Source organism: Homo sapiens, chromosome 1, assembly GCF_000001405.40.
Source record: "Homo sapiens chromosome 1, GRCh38.p14 Primary Assembly".
In the NCBI taxonomy this organism is placed as follows: Eukaryota; Metazoa; Chordata; class Mammalia; order Primates; family Hominidae; genus Homo; species Homo sapiens.
The window spans coordinates 52,922,312-52,942,933 of NC_000001.11; the positions used below are offsets into that span (position 1 = coordinate 52,922,312).

General features: G+C 42.5%; 1 protein-coding gene and 1 pseudogene across 12 annotated transcripts in view, besides 4 other annotated features; one reads left to right on the top strand and one right to left on the bottom strand.

Moving 5' to 3' along the window:
- LOC100652967 (ATP synthase membrane subunit j pseudogene) lies at positions 2,939 to 3,121 on the bottom strand (annotated as a pseudogene).
- Positions 4,728 to 5,007: a silencer, noted in NCBI's record as "silent region_901". NCBI's record gives its function as "represses an Ori minimal core promoter by ATAC-STARR-seq in GM12878 lymphoblastoid cells {active_cell/tissue: GM12878}" and the evidence as "EXISTENCE:reporter gene assay evidence [ECO:0000049][PMID:35858748]".
- The window catches only part of SCP2 (sterol carrier protein 2), a 124,423-nt gene continuing 108,765 nt past the window's right edge, over positions 4,965 to 20,622 (top strand). For 11 of the 12 annotated variants that reach the window (NM_002979.5, XM_005271103.5, NM_001193600.2 and 8 more), the window contains exons 1-2: positions 4,965 to 5,154; positions 19,485 to 19,542. In NM_002979.5, coding sequence (NP_002970.2) covers positions 5,086 to 5,154; positions 19,485 to 19,542 — 127 coding nt within the window. In that variant the 5' untranslated portion in view covers positions 4,965 to 5,085. The remainder of the gene's footprint in view (positions 5,155 to 19,484; positions 19,543 to 20,622) is intronic. The other variant, NM_001193617.2, reaches the window with a different exon arrangement.
- Positions 5,060 to 5,575: an enhancer, noted in NCBI's record as "H3K4me1 hESC enhancer chr1:53393043-53393558 (GRCh37/hg19 assembly coordinates)". NCBI's record gives its function as "activates a minimal SCP1, AML or CMV promoter by ChIP-STARR-seq in naive H9 embryonic stem cells {active_cell/tissue: H9 hESC(naive)}" and the evidence as "EXISTENCE:reporter gene assay evidence [ECO:0000049][PMID:30033119]".
- Positions 5,228 to 5,287: an enhancer, noted in NCBI's record as "active region_1038". NCBI's record gives its function as "activates an Ori minimal core promoter by ATAC-STARR-seq in GM12878 lymphoblastoid cells {active_cell/tissue: GM12878}" and the evidence as "EXISTENCE:reporter gene assay evidence [ECO:0000049][PMID:35858748]".
- Positions 5,298 to 5,387: an enhancer, noted in NCBI's record as "active region_1039". NCBI's record gives its function as "activates an Ori minimal core promoter by ATAC-STARR-seq in GM12878 lymphoblastoid cells {active_cell/tissue: GM12878}" and the evidence as "EXISTENCE:reporter gene assay evidence [ECO:0000049][PMID:35858748]".

Below are 20,622 nucleotides of genomic sequence, written 5' to 3' on the forward strand. Positions count from 1 at the left end.
ACCCTGTCTCTGTTAAACATTCAAAAAAATTAGCTGGGCGTGGTGGCGGGCGCCTGTAATCCCAGCTACTTGGGAGGCTGAGGCAGGAGAATCACTTGAACTCGGAAGGCACAGGTTCAGTGAGCTGAGATCGCGCCACTGCACTCCAGGCTGGGCAATGAGCGAAACTGCGTCCCAAAAAAAAAAATTATTCTCTTAAACACAGTATATACAAAGCACTCTCACATTGCTGATGTGAATGTCTTTAAATGAAAAGCAACTGGTAATTTATATCAAAATTATAAATGCACAAGCTCATTGCCCCAGAAATTCCAATTTTAGAAATTTAACCTACAGATAAATCCACACAGCTGTGAAATGACACGTGTTCATGGCTGTACATTGCAGCATTGTTTATAATAGCAAAAGACTGGAAGCACATGGTGCTGTCATGTGCTTCTGGTGAGGCCTCAGGAAGCTTACAATCATGGCTGAAGGTGACAGGGATCCAGCATGTCACATGGCGAGAATAGGAACAAGAAAATTAGGTGGGGAGGTCCCAGTTTATCGCCAAGGGGATGGTGCTAAACCATTCACAAGGGATCTGTCCCCATGATCCAGTCACCTCCCAACAGGGCCCACCTCCAACATTGGGAATCATATTTCAACGTGAGATTTGGAGGGATCCAACACCCAAACTATATCACAGTCTCAATATCCATCAATAGAGGGTTGGTTAAATAAATTATGGGGCTGTGTGTGGTGGCTCACCCTATTATTCCAACACTTTGGAAGGCCAAGGCAGGTAGGTCCCTGGAAGCCAGGAGTTTGAAACCAGCCTGGGAAATATAGCAAGCCCCTATCTCTACTTAAAAAAAAAAAAAAGGTACATCAATAATCTGAATACTATGCAGCTATAACAAAACACAGGAAACTGTTTATGCATTGATATGAAACAATCTTCAAAATCTATTGGTATATGAAACAAGTCAAAATGCAGAATAGTGTGTAAAGAAAGCTAAAATTTGGCCGGGTCTGGTGGCTCATGCTCATGAACCTAGCACTTTGGGAGGCCGAGACAGGAGGATTGCTTGAGGCCAGGAGTTCAAGACCAACCTAGCCAACATAGCAAAACCCCACCTCTATTGAAAGAAATAATAAAGAAAACAAAAATTTGTGTTAACAAGGGGGATAAGAGTATGCATGTGTATATTTGATTGTATTTACATAAAACATCTTTGGAAGGATAGGGAAGAAGAACCGAGAGGCTGGGAATAAGGGTAAGAGAGACAAGTTTTACGGTTTGACCTGTTATACGTTTTTGGACACAGGATGTTGTTGTTGCCCAGATTGGAGTGCAGTGGCAGTATCTTGGCTCACTGCAGCTTCTGCCTCCCGGGCTCAGGTGATCCTTCCACCTCACCCTCCTGAGTAGCTGGGACCACAGGTACATGCCACAACATTGGCTAATTTTTGTATTTCTTGTAGAGACGGGGTTTTGCCATGTTGCCAAGGTTGGTCTCGAACTCCTGAGCTCAGGCGATTTGTCCACCTTGGCCTTCCAAAGTGCTGGGATTACAGGTGTGAACCACCATGCCTGGCCCCTTTTATACTTTTTGAATCTTGATTTTTGTTTTAAGTATAACTTACTCAAAATAAATAATGAAAATGAAAACAAAGCACAATAACAAAAATTAAAAACATGCCTTAGCAAAAATAAAACTAATATATACACAAAATCAAAACATACAAACTAGCCAGGCCCGGTGGCTCATGCCTGTAATCCCAGCACTTTAGGAGGCTGAGGTGGGTGGGTCACCTGAGGTCAGGAGTTCAAGACCAGCCTGGCCAACATGGTGAAACCCTGTCTCTACTAAAAATACAAAAATTAGCCAGGCGTGGTTGTGGGCAGCTGTAATCCCAGCTACTCAGGAGGCTGAGGTGCAAGAATCGCTTGAACCCAGGAGGTGGAGGTTGTAGTGAGCTGAGATCACACCACTGCACTCCAACCTGGGCAACAGAGTGAGATTCTGTCTTAAAAAAAAAAAAGAAGCAAAAACAAAACATACAAACTATAATTGGGTATAAGATTAAAAGAAAAACCTTCCCTCCTCCATATTCCATGCATTTATTGTATTCTATTTTATTGAGACAGGGTCTCACTCTGTTGCCCACATTGGAGTACAGTGGTGCAGTCAGTTCACTACAACCTCAGACTCCTGGGCTCAGGGGATCCTCCCGTCTCAGCCTTCCGAGTAGCTGGGACTACAGGAGTGGGCCACCACACTTGGCTCATTGTTAAATTTTTTGTAGAGACAGAGGTCTCCCTATGTTGCCAGGCTGGTCTCAAACACCTGGCCTCAAGTGATCCTCCCACCTCAGCCTCCCAAAGTGCTGGGATTACAGGTGTGAGCCCCCATGCCTGGCATCCACCCATTTAAAAAGATTTTTCTTGTTTTTTCTTCTTTTTTTTTAGAGATAGGGAGCTATGTTGCCCAGGTTGGTCTTGAATTCTTGGGCTCAATCAATCCTCCCATTTTGGCCTCCCAAAGTGCTGGGATTACAGGCATGAGCCACTGTGCCTCGCTGCTTTTTGTCTTTTTGTATTAACAGAAAAGGTCTCACTATGCTGTCCAGGCTGGAGTGCAGTGGCTATTCACAGGCATAATCGTAGCTCACTGCAGCCTTGAACTCCTGGACTCAAGCAGCCTTTCTGCCTCAGCTCCTCAAGTAGATGGGATTACAGTCTCGTACCACCACACCCAGCTTAAAATGATATTTATTGTATTTTATCTGGCATTTCTGGGTGTTTTTTTTTGGTATACTTATTCATGCCACAAAGTAAGTGGTACTTATATAAGTGTACAGTGATTTTCCAGGTTCCTTTCTAACATAGCTTGCTTAAATTCACAGGTCGACTAATGTTTCATTTCATGTGCATGCTAAGTGAAGCTGGTTAGTGATGACCATAAGCAGGTGGAGAAGCTTTCAATATTTTACTTATTTTATCAGTACTCCTGATTTTATAAATGATGAGGCTCATTAACCCCATTCCTACTCAAATCTCCTGATAAACTTGGTTATAATAGGGCTTCATGGGGATCCAAACATTTTTAATAATGTTTTGAAGCATCTTGGTGTGGGACAAACAGCTCAGGCTACCCCAGAGCCCCACATCCAATGACTTAGAAAAGTCTGTGTTTTATAGTGGGAAAAGTTTGGATTATTTAGTCCTTCACATTGGAAAGGGAAGTGTTTTTTCTCAGTCTTTTCGGTATTAACAAATACCTTTTATATTACTATCTATCCCCTCTGCCCTCTATGGACTCTTATTTTGAAAGCAATATCCAGTGGACAGCCAGGATTTGTTACATAACAATTAATCTTGACCTTAGGACTTGTTGTTCTATTAGGTTGGTAACTTTGTCTGATCCACCAATCATATTGCTGTCTTGTCAGTCCATCAGTTTCAAGAAACAACTGTACATGTCAGTGCCCTGATTTGTGTTTGTTTTTCTTTTTTTTTTTTTTTTGTTTCGTTTTGGTTTTTTAGAGACGTGGTCTTGGTATGTTGCCCAGGCTGGAGTGCAGTGGCTATTCAGAGGTGTAATCATAGCACATTTGTAGCCTTGAATTCCCAGGCTCAAGTGATCTTTCTGCCGAAGCCTCCTGAGCAGATGGGAGGCGTGCATCACTGAGCGCAGCAATTTTACTAAGTTGGTCTAGTCCTAGCTCAGTAGTTCTTTACTTAGCACAGAGGGGGCTTCTTAGAATCTCCTAAACTTGATCTTAGCCAAATGGCCAAGAAGCAATCCTTAGAATCTTCTAGGAGAGCCTTTCTAAATGCTGATACTGCAAACCGAAAAGTATATGAAACGGATCTCAATTAATTTAGAAGTTAATTTTGCCAAGTTTAAGGACGTGCATCATCTTTGGAGACAGGTCCGTGCCTTTCTCCAAAGATGATTTTGAGGGCTTCAGTTTTTATAGGGGAAGGGGCAGATATTGGGGAAAGATGAATAAATTTTAAAAAGATGTGGGTAGATAAGAGGCAAACGGTTGCATTCTTCTGAGTCTTTGATCAACCTTCACATGTGAGGGGGGTAGAGAAATAGTCACTTATGCATTCATCTAGCTCAATGAATCTGCATTTTTACATAAGATAAAATAAACCGGGGAGCCGGGCGCGGTGGCTCACGCCTGTAATCCCAGCACTTTGGGAGGCCAAGGTGGGTAGATCACCTAAGGTCAGGAGTTCCAGACCAGCCTGGCCAACATGGCGAAACCCCATCTCTACTAAAAATACAAAAATTAGCGGGGCGTGGTGGCGCGCGCCTGTAATCCCAGATACTCGGGAGGCTGAGGCAGGAGGATTGCTTGAACCTGGGAGGCGGAGGCTGCAGTGAGCCGAGTTCGCGGCATTGCACTCCAGCCTGGGCGACAGAGCGAGACTCCGGTCTCCAATAAACATGGAAGGCTGTTTCTCCCCGGTTTGCTGGAATAAAGTCTCTGTCTTCCAAATTCCTTTTCGGAGAACTTTTGTTCACAAGATTAAAAAGGTCACGCAGCTGGTGACGGAGCCTGGGTTTTTTGATTTAGACATTGTATCCATGTGTGAGATCCTGCCCATCCCCGCTTTCTTGGTGTCCTGTGAGTTTAAATTCATGAATTCACTCTCAACTGCCACCGCTAACAGGACACAGGCCAATTCCAACACGAACCCCAACGGCTCTCCTCAGGGTCACCTTTCATGAGTCCGCTTTCCGGCCAACCCCTCCTCTCAGTCTTAGGCCCCACTGCAAGCCTACTCCCGCTCACCGTACAGAACCTAAGCACAGGATCAGAGATGGGGACAGGTTGACTCAGTCCCATGCCCAAGTCCGCAAATTAGGGATTCGGCTGCCTAAGGGCTAGAGAACGCTCCCCGCCCCACAGGACGCGCCCCACCCCGCCCCCTCCTCCTGCCCCTACGCACGCGCACTCTCACGCGCCTGTGTTGCCGCCCGCGGCCCTGGCTTCGGGCTTCAGGGAGCTCTGGTGCAGTCTCCGCCTGTCAGTGCCGGCAGTCGTCCGCGGCGCCCGCCCCGGTCCCGCACTGGTGCAGCCATGTCCTCTTCCCCGTGGGAGCCTGCGACCCTGCGCCGGGTGTTCGTGGTGGGGGTTGGCATGACCAAGGTAAACCGAGCAGCGGCCCTGCTGGCCCTCTGAGGCTCGGGGGCGGTCGGTGCCTGGGTTTCTCTGTCCCTCCGGTCTCCTAGCTTCGACTGCTCCGCGCGTGGGTCATCGGCGTGGCGACTTGGTGGCTTGTACTCTGCGGAATCTCTGGGGTCATAGCGTCTCGGGCTGGTTCCTGCGGCCTTCTGCTTCCTCCTTCCCTTTTCTTCTGGTCAGAGTTCATGAAGCAGCCCCGAGATAATCCAAGGATCTCACCTCTTTAGATTCTGAGCGGAGTCCCGAGGTGTGTGGGCTGGCTTGCCCCGGAGGGAGGCAGGTCGCGAATGCCGCCTGCTCGGCCCTCCCAGGAACAGCCCCCACAGGAGCCCTCACAGAGACAGCTCCAGATGTGGATGGCGAGGAGAAACGCTCCTGATGCCCAGCGCCTCGGCCCGAGTGGCAGATTCCGGCCTCCCTCTGTCCCTCCAGTGACTGCTTGGGACCCGGACGCCGCAGGCTCCCACGGCCGTTTTCCCCTCATCGCCCGCATGCTCCTTAATGCCAAACTGCCTTTCGTTTCTCCCCGGACGCAGTTGTCTGATGCCTCTGTTGCTTTGCTTCTGTTCTGTTTGTACCGTGTATCTTCACCTGTTAACTTTTGTGCATCCTGAAAGGATCCGTTCAGATCGGATCTTCTCCAGGACGCCTCGGATCCTCCTGACTTTCCCCTAGAGCCTTGCACTGTGCTTACCTCTGTCCTGCACTTACTGTGCTCGGCAGTACCGGGCAGTACTAAAGCTCATAGGCGTCTGCGCGCCCTCTTAGCATGGCAGCTCCTCTAGACTGGGTACCTGGCTTATTCACTGCTGTGCCCCTCGCCCTGAACGTTCCTGATGCTTGAAGACCCTCAGTGAATGTTAGTTGAACAATACTAAATGGATATGCTTTGTGAAAGAGTTCCTAGGGAGAGTTCTATTTCTGAGAAAACAGCCCTAAAATGTTTATTATTTTACCAGTGGGCTGAGCGTACCTAATTCAGTCCAACATGTAAATAGGCCGGGGCCGGTGGCTCACGCCTGTAATCCCAGCACTTTGGGAGGCCAAGGCGGGTGGATCACCTGAGGTCAAGAGTTCGAGACCAGCCTGGCCAACATGGTGAAACCCCGTCTCTACTAAAAATACGAAAATTAGTCGGGCATGGTAGCACACGCCAGCTACTCGGGAGGCTGAGGTGGGAGGATTGCTTGAGCCTGGGAGATGGAGGTTGCAGTGAGCTGAGATCACGCAACTGCACCCCCAGCCTGGGCCATAGAGTCAGTCCTTGTCTCAACAAAAACAAAAAATATCCATGGAAATGGAAAAGTGGACCAATACCTTATGAAGCGGAAGGACATCATCCTAGTGTTTCACAGAAGGGGAGGCTTCTAACACAGGTGGACAGTAGGATCTTTCGAAGTAAGGTATTAATGCAGTCAAACCTTCCTCTGGCTGCTGAATGCCTGATTATATGTGCTGTATGGAAAAGCACAGTTGTCTAAACCTTTGGGAAATAGATGTATTCCTTTTTCCTCAAGTTGGGAGGTAGAGGTCGGGGAGGTGTTACAGTCCAGAGGAAAGTGGTGAGGAGTTTGGGTAGTGCCATTAATGATGTGCCTATCTGGCCAGTGTACTTTGCTATAGGTCTGGTCTTCTGCACCTTGGGACAGAGTTTGATGGAGGAGGGAGAAATATTGACTAGACAACACTGTAACACTTTTTTTTTTTTTTTTGGAAGACGGAGTTTTGCTCTGTCAACCAGATGGGAAGGCAGTGGTGCAATCATAGCTCACTGCAGCCTTGAACTCCTGGACTCTAGCGATCCTACCGAGTAGCTAGGACTACAGGCATTCTACCATACCTGGCTAATTAAAAAAAAATTTTTTTTGTAGAGACAGGGTCTCACTACTTACTACTAGATGGGTCTCATTTCTACCATATATTACTGTTATAATTTATCATAATACTTTATTTTTATTTTTTGAGACAGAGTCTCACTCTGTCCCCCAGTCTGGAGTGCAGTGGGGCGATCTCAGCTCACTGCAACCTCTGCCTCCCAGGTTCAAGTGATTCTTCTGCTCAGCCTCCCAAGTAGGTGGGATTACAGGTGTGTGCCACCATGCCCAGCTACTTTTTGTATTTTTATTTATTTTATTTTTTGACACAGATTCTTGCTCTGTCGCCCAGGCTGGAATGCAGTGGCGCGATCTTGGCTCACTGCAAGCTCCGCCTCCTGGATTCACGCCATTCTCCTGCCTCAGCCTCCCGAGTAGCTGGGACTACAGGTGCCCACCACCACGTCCGGCTAATTTTTTGTATTTTTTAGTAGAGATGGGGTTTCACCGTGTTAGCCAGGATGGTCTTAACCTCCAGATCTCGTGATCCACCCGCCTCGGACTCCCAAAGTGCTGGGATTACAGGCGTGAGCCACCGCACCTGGCCGTCAACAGGTTTTAACACAACTAAGTCACAGCTGCCGTCTGGCTGACAGCAAGCCTCTTCACTTATGCTGCCTATCTCCTGATATACCCTCTTTTCATCTACTTAAATTCTACTTATCTTTCAAGAACTAGGCTAAGTCCCATACCTTCTTAAAACTTCCTCAGACTACTCTAAGTTACACTGGTCACCTTTTTTGAAATTCTGGTGACCTTATAGTCAGAACATGTAATTTAGCACTTCAGTTTTCTAGTACTTTTATGTATGGTAATTTCATGAAATACATCTTACATCACAATCCAGTACACACATACAAAACTTATTTGTAACAACTGAAACAATTTGTTAAAGCAACGCTTATTACATGTGATGAACTCTTGGTATCCCTAAAGTATATCTTAAAAAAAAAAAAAATTGCTGCTTGGCTGGATGTGGTAGCTCATGCCTGAAATCTCAGTACTTTAGGAGGCTGAGGTGGGTGTATCTCTTGAGCCCAGGGTTTGAGAACAGCCTGGGCGATATTGGCAAAACCCCTTCTCTACTAAAAATAAGAAAAATTAGCTGGGCTTAGTGGCGCACACCTATAGTCCCAACCACTCGGGAGGCTTATCTGGGAGGATCACCTGAGCCTGGGAGGTTGAGGCTGCAGTGAGTCCTGTTTGAGCCACCACACTCCAGCCTGGGTAATGGGAGTGAGACTCTGTCTCAAAAAAAAAGTGCTGCTCACAACCTGCTAAATTGATTTGGTCATAATCTAATAAGTTCAAATTTCAGTTTGAAAAATATTACATTATTTAATTCTCACCACGTAATGGATTTTTATATCCATTCAATTATCTGACTCTGAGGCTCAGAGGGGCTAAGTACTTTATTTTGGTGCAGCTTTTAAGTTTTGGAACTGCCTTTCTTAAAATCTTGTGCTCTTTCCATGCCATCTCTACTGTATATTACTGTTATAATTTATCATTGAAACATATATTCAGTAAATATTCTATGGGTTATATGCTAGAGATGCAAAAATGAAAAAAACAAAGTTCCTGTTTTAAAGGAATGTCTAATCTGGAGGAGAAAAGAATAAACAAGTAGTTTAAATAAGATTATTTGAGATATTTGATTAAACATGGCAGATTGAGTACATGAATTTATCTCTGTTGGTGCTTTCCATATCCCACTAAAGCAACAATAAGGAAAGAAAATGATATTAATCCACAAGGGCAAAGTGAGTAGGAAAGGAAACAATAGCTGAGATATATCGGAAGATTTTTGGAAGATTCTGAAGTTGATGGAGAAGTGGTCACTGACTCAGAGCAGAGAGACCACTACCTAAGTTCCTGAAGAGGGGTTATACTGGTTGAGCCTCCCAGCAGAACTCCAGAAGGCCCAAAACTTGGATATACTAGGTGCCAGGTAGGGTGGGAAAGAAGAAAAAGACTATTCTAAGGAACAGTTAGGTCCCAAGATCTCTTTTACCACCAGGTGACTTTACCTTTTCTTAGCAGAGTATTGGAGACTTTTTCTCTGGGGAAACTGAACAGATGAAGAGGCTCTAGAATCATCTGAGCTGTTAGGCCCAAGTTGAAAAAAAGGGAATTAAATTGAATTCTGCATGCTAAAGGGTAGTACTTCCCAGCTGTGAGAAGCAACACTGGTAGTCACACATATACTACCTTCCTGGCAGAGATTTGGAAAATTATTTGGAATGGCTGCAGAGAAAAGCCAGCTTGCTACTCCATCATCTTGTGGTGAAGATCAGCAGTTGATAAGCTTTATTCATGCAGAGAGCTTCCTTCAGGCTTTTAATTGTTTTAATTATGAACAAATAGCCAAGGATCACCAGATATTCAAGGAAAATTTCCAACAAGACAACGTCAACCCCCTACTCAAAAACAACAAAATACTAAGGAAAAACTTTGGAGGAGGGATCAGAAGACACTTAGGGAACAAAAGAAAACCTAAACTGTAACAACCTCAGGGAGATAAGTGAAAATATTACATCTCTGAAAAAAGAACTGAGTGCTATTTTAAAAAAAAAGACATAGGAAAGAGCTCTTAGGAAATTAAACATATTTTGACCAAAACAAAATATTCAATAGAAGATAACGTAAAGGAAATCTGGACAATGGAGCAAGAACAAAGAAATGGGTATTAGGAGAGAAAATAAAATTAAATGTTTAATAAAAAAGATCCAATATCTAGTTAATGAGTTCTAGAAAAAGAACTGAGAACATAGAAACTAGGAAATTATCAGAGAAATAATAGAGAATTTTCCGAACTGAATTTTTCAGTTTGAAAAGCCAATCCGATGAATAAAAAGAAAGCTCATATCAAGGCACATTATCCTGAAATATCAGAACCGTAGCATTAGATTTCTCAACAGAAACCTTGGATGCTACAAATGACAGAATAATGCTTTCAAAATTCTTAAGCAAAATTTTTGATCCTAGAATTCTATTCCCTAATAAATAATCCAAATTTGAGGGTAGAAAAAAATTTTTTAATGTAAGTGCTAAAAAATTAACTTCTTACACATCCCTACTCACAAAGCTAATTAGAGAATGAATGTGTCCACCAAAATGGCGGCGTAAACCAAGGAAGAAGATACTGGATCCTGGAAACAGGGTAACATAGAATAGTGAGAAAAGCCCCAGGGTGGCATCTGTGCAATGACTCAGTTTGGAATATGTTCTGGATGGGTCCAGGAGGGAGGTCTCTAGAAAAAAACATTTTGACCATGTGGACTATGGTTTTAAGAGAGATTTTAGAGGTGAGTATATTAGAGTTGGAGTTAGGCACATAAAAAGCAAATGAAATACATGAGTTAGGCAAATTAAACTCAGTAATTATGTTACTGAGCATTAGCATTAGTATTGTTATGAGATTATTATATGTGTAACATGGCTTAAAATATGTAAATAAATATAATTCTACTTCATCCCTTGGTGCTTGAGAATTAAGATTCTTGGTGGAGGAGAAAAGAGATACAGATGTAATACAGAAGGGAGTAGGTAAAAAATTCTGTAATTCTGAAAAAGTATTAGTATAAACTTTAATTAGTATTTCATCTTTAAATGTTTTTCTGGCTCTGTCCACTGAAGAAGCTTAGAAATAATGACCAAATCTGTTACATCCATACCATTGTGATCTTAAAATATCTTTTTCTACTAGAAGAAATGGCTGGTTGCAGAAATTGCTTATTCCCCATGGGGCAGGAAGTGTACAATGTGAGTCTAGAATATTTTGTCACTGCTAATTGCAAGGAAGTTATCAAAGCCTACTTGAGTGATGCCGAAAGGATTCAGGAGCCAACCTGTAGTTCTCACTTACCAAAGTTGAGAAAATTTGAGCTTTAAAAGAGATAGTAATTGCAGTTGATTAAAACCCATCAGGCTGGGCATGGTGGCTCATGCCTGTAATCTTGGCACTTTGGGAGGCCGAGGCTTAATTAAGCCCAGGAGTTTGAAACCAGCCTGGGCAACATGGCAAAACCTCATCTCTACTAAAAAAATAAAAATCAAAAATTAAGAAAAAAAACCCCATCAGGTATGTTTAAACAAGAGTTTGTGATAATATTTTAAAAATCAACTAATTATAGTCTTTGGAGGATAACAGGGAACCTACTCATTGTCTTGAAAATTGACAAAGGGAAACAATCATATGTTTATTGTTTTTCCTGTATGAACTGTATCATTGGATAATTAAATAGTAGATGAGGAGTAGTGTCTTCTATCAAACGTATTTAAGTAATAACTGAAAAAGAAATGACAGAACATTACCATCATTTTTGACAGCTGCCAATGAATTGATCTAGCAGGGGTTCTCAAAATACGGTTTGTGGAGTCCTTGGGGTAGTCTCTGAGACCCTTTGAGGGGACCTGAAAGATCAAGACTATTCATAATAATACTAAGATATTGTTTGCCATTTTCATTGTATGTTGACATTTACACTGATGGTGCAAAAGTAATGGTGGGTAACACTGTTGGCATCTTAGCATGAATCAAAGCACTGGCACCAAACTAGTAGTCACTATATTTGTCATGCACTTATGCATTCACAGGAAAAAGAAAAGCACTAATTTTCACTTAAGACCTCGATGAAGCAGAAAACATTGGTTAATTTTATTGAATCTCAACCCTTAAGAGATGATTTGCATTATGAGCTAAACCAACTACTTTTTTTCATGAAACACATTTTACTTGAGAGAACAAATGGCACACATGTGATGGTTAATTCATACTTGAGTATTTTACAGACATTTTCTCAAAAACGAATGAAGTCAGCAGTCACGTCAAGGAAAACAACTGAAGTGTTTGTTTCTAAAGATAAAATTTGGGCTTTCAAGTGAAAATTAGAATTTTAGAAAACTTGTATCTGCTTCATAACTTCCTACTATTAAAAATTTTTTTTTTGTTTTTTAACGGGACAGGTAATATTAACAAAGGTGAGTTTTTGGAATTATATAAAGTCAAAATTTGAAAGGGCCGTATAACTCATGGAGCCGATATTTTTCCAAAAAAACCAATGGATGATGTTCTGCATTCTTTAAATAATAATCCACTCATTTATGGATCCATTGAATGGATCAGTAAGAGATCCATTCAAATACAATATTTTATTATAACAGAGTATGAAAAATTCATTGATAGACGGTTTCAAATTCTACATTCCAGCTAACTTTTTTTTTTTTTTTTTTTTTTTTTTTTTTTTTTTTTTGAGACGGAGTCTCTCTCTGTCCCCCAGGCTGGAGTGCAGTGGTGCGATCTTGGCTCACTGCAAGCTCCACCTCCTGGGTTCACGCCATTCTCCTGCCTCAGCCTCCCGAGTAGCTGGGACTACAGGTGCCTGCCAACACGCCCGGCTAATTTTTTGTATTTTTAGTAGAGACTACAGGCGCCCGCCAACACGCCCGGCTAATTTTTTTGTATTTTTAGTAGAGATGGGGTTTCACGGTGTTAGCCAGGATGGTCTCGATCTCCTGACCTCGTGATCCGCCCGTCTCGGCCTCCCAAGTGCTGGGATTACAGGCGTGAACCACCGCGCCCGGCCTAACTTTTAAGAAACGTCGGCCCGGGAGCGGTGGCTCACGCCTGTAATCCCAGCACTTTGGGAGGCCGAGGTGGGCGGATCACCTGAGGTTAGGAGTTTGAGACCAGCCTGGCTAACGTGGTGAAACTCCGTTTCTACTAAAAATACAAAAAATTAGCTGGGTATGGTGGCGCGCACCTATAATCCCAGCTACTCAGGAGGCTGAGGCAGGAGAATTGCATGAACCCGGGAGGCGGAGGTTGCAGGGAGCCGAGATCGCCCCATTGCACTCCAGCTTGGGCAACAAGAGCAAAACTCCGTTTCAAAAAAATAAAATAAAAAAAGAAACCTCCACTTGGCGGGGCGTGGTGGCTCATGCCTGTAATCCCAGCACTTTGAGAAGCCAAGGAGGGTGGATCACCTGAGGTCAGAAATTCGAGACCAGCCTGGTCAACATGGCAAAACCGCAAAACCCCGTTTTTATTAAAAATACAAAAATTAGCCAGGCGTGGTGGTGGACGCCTGTAATCCCAGCTACTCGAGAGGCTGAGGCAGGAGAATCACTTGAACCCAGGAGGTGGAGGTTGCATTGAGCTGAGATTGTGCCACTGCACTTCAGCCTCAGCCACAGTGCGAGACTCAGTCAAAAAAAAAAAAAAAGAAAAAAGAAACCTCCTGTCTCAAGAAAAAAAAAGGAATGTCCACACTCGGTTGGGTCTAGTGAGTGGCTCATGCCTGTAATCCCAGCAGTTGGGGAGGCTGAGGTTGAAGGCTTACTTGAGCCCAGGAGTTTGAGACCCGTCTGGGCAACATGGCAAGACCCCGTCTCTACAAAAGATAGAAAAATTAGCTGGGTGCAGTAGTGCATGCTTGTAGTACCAGCTACTCAGGAGGCTGAGGCAGGAGGATTGCTCGAGCCCAGGAGTTTGAGGCTGCAGGGAGCTATGTTCATGGCACTGTACTGCAGCCTGGGTGACAGAGCAAGAACCTGTCTTGAAAAAAAAAAAGAATATCCACAATTCCAATACTCTTCCCTTTTCCAACTACATGTCTGTGTTAGGTCACATGATGTACTTCATAGACTTCAACTAAAACAACATAATGCTAAAGTTTGAATGAAGAATCAGATATGAGAATTCAGCTGTCTCCTGAATTAAAGATAATTGCAGAAATGCTAAACAATGGCATTCTTCCCACTTTATTTTGGAAAATACAATTATTTTTCATAGAAATTATTTATGTTAACATGTAATGGATTTATTGTTTTTGATGAATTGGAAAATCTTTTAAAATGTCTTTAGTTTTAAGTTCTATTATGATAGCTATTGGTAGATATAACCTTCATAATCGAAAGCTCTTTGCCATTTCCAATAATCCTCAAGAGCGTAAAGGGGTCCTGAGACTAAGAAGTTTGAGAATCGCTGGATGTAGTCTCTGCTGCTAACAACACAGAGAAACAATCAGATATATGCTTCCTAATGAAAGAATACACTACCACCTATAGTTTTGTCAAAGGGATAGAATGTACAATCAAATTTTGGATCCAGTTGCCAATTTACAGGAAATACAGAGAACAGAAGTACACATTCAACTACATGAGTATGCAATCTGCAAAATCCAGACTCTGGGAAACTGTAGGTCAAATGCTTTGGTTCTTCAACAGACACATCTTACTGTATTTGAAAGGAAAAGAAAGTAGTAGAGGGAAGCCTGTAGATTAAAAGAGAATTAAAAGACACTTTTTTAAAATAAATGGGCAAGACTAAACTATAATGTCTTTGGATGCGTATTTGGGTGATAAAAGTATGAAATATTCCAAGAGAGTAATTACTGTAAGAATCGGGATAGTAATTACTTTGGGGGTAGAGTGGGGATTGAGATTGCTACAGAGTACATGGAGGAGTTTCTGGGGTGGAGGGCAAAGTTCTATTTCTTGACCTGGGTGATGGTAGCAAGGGTGTTTGCCTTAAAACAATTCATTAGGATATGCATTTAACTCTAGAAAAAAAAATCCTAAAAATTGTACAGTAAGGAAATGGAATCATAAGTAGACAACTGGCCCAGCAGTTGAAAAAAATGTACTTAATAAAGCAAACACCGAGAATTAAATTAACACCAAATTGTGATTCTGCTATGTAAGAAGGGTAAGAGATATGTAAACTAATGTATATGTGGGGTGGCAGAAAAGGTCTGATCCTTATTGGTCCTTATAGGAGATTATGATATGACTTCTTACATTGATGAAGAAAGAAATAGTAGTATAAGAAGGATATTTAGAAACATGTCAGTTTCTAACAAGAAATATCTGAAAGAATTGAAAGTGGATGTTTTGGGAGCAAATAAGACTACTGGGTGCAGAGTAGTGAAACAGGATTGCTGTTTTTATTATAAAGTTTGTGGTACTTTTTGTCTTTATCTTTTGTTTTTGCATTTCTTTTATGAAAAAATAAAATATAAATAGAACATTGCTAGCACCTCAGAAGGCCCTCTTGTGTCCTCTTCCAGCCACTGACCCCTTGCCTTCAAAGGGTTACTATTATTCTGACTTCTGACCTTTAATATGCTGGATTAATTCTGGTTAAACCTTAAAAAGGTTTCTGTAATTCAAGAATTATGGAGAAGAATTGGGATGGGTCAGAGATAGGAACACATTAAGTGTTTTGGTACTGTGCAATGAAATGTGGCATTTAAGTCACATATCATGTTTCAAACTTTTGTGACCCATTAGTGAGTCGTGAACTCAATTTAGAAAGTTGTCTTAGAATTAAAAATTGAAATAGAACAGGAAATACTGATGCCAGCAAGCCCACAAAGTGGGGCTTATCTTGGGAGGGTTCTCAGCTTCACTTAGAGTGAGCCAACAGTGAAAGAAAGCAAATTAGAACAGCAAGGTACAGCAAAATGGCTGCTCCATAGACACAGCAGGGCTGTCGCATAGGCAGAGCAGCCCAGAGTAGCCCAGTGGATTGCTGGACAGCTATATTTATACCTACTGTTAAAAGGGGGGTGGGTTATTCATGAACTTTCTGGAAAAGGGGCAGGGAGTCCCCAGAGTCATATAACTTCTGAGGCATTGCCACAGCATAGTAGGTAAATTGTCATGCTGTTGGTGGCTGTGTCTTATGTAAATGTGTTATAATTCGCATATAATGAGCAATGAGGGCAACTAGAGGTTGCTTTCATTGCCATCTTGGTCTTAGCTGATTTCAGCTGGTTTATTTGTCACATCCTTTTTTGATCAGCAGGGTGATCAGTAGTGACTGAGGCTCAGGAGACAAGTCCTGTTGGTATCCTACCTTGAAATAAGAATAAATATTTCATGAAAGTTTTGCTTCACTTATGTATGTATATATGCGTGTACTGGGTTGTGTTGTAAAATGTATTTTATTTTGGTTTGCAGTCAAAAGAATATTCAAAGCCATTTCTCTTTAATGTGACCACTCACCAGCAAAGCACTACATCTTACCTAATCAGTCATCAAGTTCAGTAGATTTTACTTCCCTTGTATTTCTGAGGTCTATTTCTTTCTTTTTTGCTTCTGTCTTAGCCCTCACCTGGCCTGTTTCAGAATTATGCTAGTTGGTCTCACTGCCTCCCGCCATGCTCCTTTCATCATTTCTTCACATTGTGTCTAGGATGATCTAAAATGCAAGTCTCGTCATCCCAGTCTCTTTCTCTTTTTAAAAATAGACTACTTTTAAGAGAAATTTTAGGTTTACAGCAAAATTGAGTACAAGGTACAGAGATTTCCCATGTGTTTCCCCTATCCCTCCATATATAGCCTCTCCCTCTATCAGCAAGGGCACACCCAGAGTGATACATTTGTTATGATCGATGAACATACATTGACACATCATTATCACCCAGAGACCATAATTTACTTTAGTGTTCACTCTTGGTATTGTACATTCTATGGATTTTGAAAAATGTGTAATGACATGTATCCAGTGTTATAGGATCATACAGAATAGTTTCACTGCCTTAAAAATCCTCTGTGTTCCACATATTCATCCTTCTCTCCCACCAGCACCTGGCAACCACTGATCTTTTTACTGTCTCTATAAATTTTACCTTTTCCAGAGTGTCCTTTACTTGGAATCATAGTTTGTAGTCTTTTAAGATTGTCTTCTTTCACTTAATATGATATGTATTTAAGGTTCTTCCATGTTTTCTCATAGCTTGATAGCTCATTTCTTTTTAGCACTGAATAATATTCCATTGTTTGGATGTGCCACAGTTTATCCTTTTACCTCCTGAAGGACATCTTGATTGCTTCCAAGTTTTGACAGTTATGAATAAAGCTAGTATAAACATCTGTGTGGTTCCATCATAGTGGCTCGTGACTGTAATCCCAGCACTTTGAGAGGCTGAGGCAGGAGGATTGCTTGAGCCCCGGAGTTCGAGATCAGCCTGGGCAACATAGTGAGATCCATCTCTACAAAAAAACTTAAAAATTAGCCAGGCATGATTATGAGCACCTGTGATCTCAGCTACTCAGGAGGCTGAGGTGGGAGGATTGCTTGAGCCCGGGAAGTTGAAGCTGCAGTGAGCTGTGATCACACCACTGCACTCCAGCCTGGGCAACAGAGTGAGACTCCATCTCAACAAAACAAAACAACAACAAAAAACACCCATTTGTAGGTTTTTATATGGACATAAGTTTTCAACTCCTTTGGGTAAATGCCAAGGAGTGCTATTGCTAATTCATATGTGTATTGTGTGTGCTTTATTTTTGCTTTATTTATTTATTTATTGAAACTGAGTCTTGTTCTGTTGCCCAGGCTGGAGTGCAATGGCACAATCTTGGCTCACTGCAACCTCTGCCTCCTGGGTTTTCCTGTCTCAGCCTCCCGAGTAGCTGGGATTATAGGTGCTGGCCACCATGACCAGCTCATTTTTGTATTTTTAGTAGAGACAGGGTTTCATCATGTTGACCAGTCTGGTCTCGAATTCCTGACCTCAAATGATCCACCCACCTCGGCTTCCTAAAGTGCTGGGATTACAGATGTGTGCCACCATGCCCAACCTGTACATGTTTAGTTTTGTAAGAAATTGCCGAACTTCCTATTGCTCCATATCCTTGCCAGCATTTGATGTCAGTGTTTTGGATTTTTGCCATTCTAATTAATAGTGGTATCTGATTGTTGTTTTATTCCAGTCTCATTTTAAAAAACATTGTCATCTGGGCATGGTGGCTCACACCTGTAATTGCAGCACTTTGGAAGCTGAGGCAGGAGCATCACTTGAGCCCAGGAATTTGAGACCAGCCTGGGCAACATGGCAAAACCCCATCTCTACAAAAAATACAAAAATTAACTTAGCGTGGTGGTGCGTGCCTGTAGTCCCAGCTACTGTGGGTGCAAAGGGAGCTGAGGTGGGAGGATTGCTTGAGTCAGGGTGGTTGAGGCTGCAGTAAGTTGTGATCATACCACTGCACTCCAGCCTGAGTGACAGAGCAAGACCTTGTCTCAAAAAACAAACAAACAAAAACACTGTCTTCAGGATAAAGCCCAGACCAGCATTGCAGGGCATAAAGGGTCCCTTGTGAGTTGGCTCCAGACCTAGACTAAACTTTCAGCTCCATTACTTATTAGCTCTATGCCCCTGGGTTAGTTGTTTATCTCTCTGTGTCCTAGTTTTCTTATCTGTAATGCACGGAACCTACCTTTTAGGATGGTTGTGAGGATTAAATGAGTAAATACATGTGAAATGCTTAACACAATGCATACCACAGTAAGCGCCCAATAAATATTAGTTGTTATCATTGTTTGGACCTAAGGTACTTTTATGTTCATATCACTTTTATTTTATTTTATTTTATTTTTGGAGACAGAGTCTCATTCTGTCATCCAGGCTGGAGTGCAGTGGCACTATCTCGGCTCACTGCAACCTCTGCCTCCTGGTTCAAGTGATTCTTCTGCCTCAGCCTCCTGAGGAGCTGGGATCACAGGCGTATACCGCCATGCCTGGCTAATTTTTGTATTTTTAGTAGAGACAGGGTTCTACCATGTTGGCCAGGCTGGTCTTGAACTCTTGACCTCAGTGATCCTCCCGCCTCGGCCTCCCAAAGTGCTGGGATTACAGGCGGGAGCCACCACACCCAGCCATCCTTAACACTTTCCACTTTATGTTTTAACCTATGTCATACCAAATTATTTACAGTTCTTCCACAGAGAAAAAACTGCTGTATTCTCTTACTTCTAGATCTTTACTCCAAAATTTCCTTCTCTTTCACTTTGCTAACTGCTACTCATCCATAAGAACTTAATTTAAATGGCAGTTTCTCTGGGAAGCCTTTCTTTTCCTCCCTCCAAGTCTGGGTAGATGTCTCTGTCAAGACATTCTGTACTTCTGACACTGTAGTGTAACTGTCTGTCTTAGGTTAGACTGGAAGCACTCTGAGGGCAAGGATTTTATATTATTTATTATTAGAGTCTAATAATAATGTGTTTTTTGTTTGAATGAGTAGTGAATGAATAGATTTTTATTGTGTAAAAAATGTAACTATACTTGGCTGGGCGCAGTGGCTCACACCTGTAATCCCAGCACTTTGGGAGGCCGAGGCAGGCAGATCACAAGGTCAGGAGTTTGAGACCAGCCTGGCCAACATGGTGAAACCCCGTCTCTACTAAAAATACAAAAATTAGCTGGGCATGGTGGTGTGCACCTGTAATCCCAGCTACTGGGGTGGCTGAGCCAGGAGAATGGCTTGAACCCAGGAGGCAGAGGTTGCAGTGAGCCGAGATCATGCCACTGCACTCCAGCCTGGGTAACAGAGCAAGACTCCGTCTCAAAAAAAAAAAAAAATGTAACTATACTTGTTTGTATTTATTATCTCTTTCTATATCTCTAGTTTGTGAAGCCTGGAGCTGAGAATTCAAGAGACTACCCTGACTTGGCAGAAGAAGCAGGTAACATAGAACATTTAGATCTTTGAACATTCATAGTTTATTATGTGGTCTGTCTTGATTTCATGGATGGGGCAGCCTTGCAAGCACAAAAGGAAGCCCAGTCAAGGGAGAAGAACCCGTACAGAGAAATGTCTAGTGACTCACTACAAAGGAAAAGAGCTTGGGCATTCTTAGCAGCTACATAGCCAGAGCAGAGAGTGGCTTACAATTTTATGTGCTATCCAAATATGTGTTGAGATGGTTAAGGGATCTGTGGGAGAGAGAGGTAGGGTCATTAAAAGGGATAACATCATTCTAGTGTGTGTTAACTTCAGGAGTTCTAACAAAATTAGTGTCTTCCTTTCCTGGAAAAGGGATAATCACATTCCAAATGTATTAAATACCTGTATGGTGGTTTTCTTTACTTCACTGAGCCAACATAGAGAATTCTTTTTCTGTCACTAGATTACTGCATGACTAAAGGAGGTGATGCAGTTTGTTACTGTTTATTATAATGAGTATTAGTACTTTTGAGCAAAAGACGGGTGAATATTGGTGTGAGTGGAACTAACAGGGAGAAGGATCTACAGGTGTATGGGTCCTGGTTCTCTAAGCATTCAGCATTCTTTAGAGACGTGCCACGACCAGGCTGCATCTGGCTGCACTGTGGGTCTGAGTTGTAGCAGAGAGATCCCCATCCATTGTTCTTCTTCTCCCCCACCTCTCTTTTTTTAAAAAAAGGGGACAAGTATGAAAGCTTCTTTACATGATATATATAAAGAATTTTTTTTTTGCCATCAATAAGAAATTTAATTATTTTTAAAAAATCCAAATGCTGGCATTGCCAGAAAAATTTAACAGGTTTTTTTTTTTTTTTTTTTTTGAGATGGAGTTTCACTCTTGTTGCCCAAGGTAGAGTGCAAATGGCATGATCTCAGTTCACTGCAACCTCGGACTCCCAGGTTCAAGTGATTCTCCTGCCTCAGCCTCCCGAGTAGCTGGGATTACAGGCACACACCTCCACGCCAGGCTAATTTTTTTGTATTTTTAGTAGAAACGGGGTTTCACCATGTTAGCTAGGCTGGCCTCGAACTCCTGACC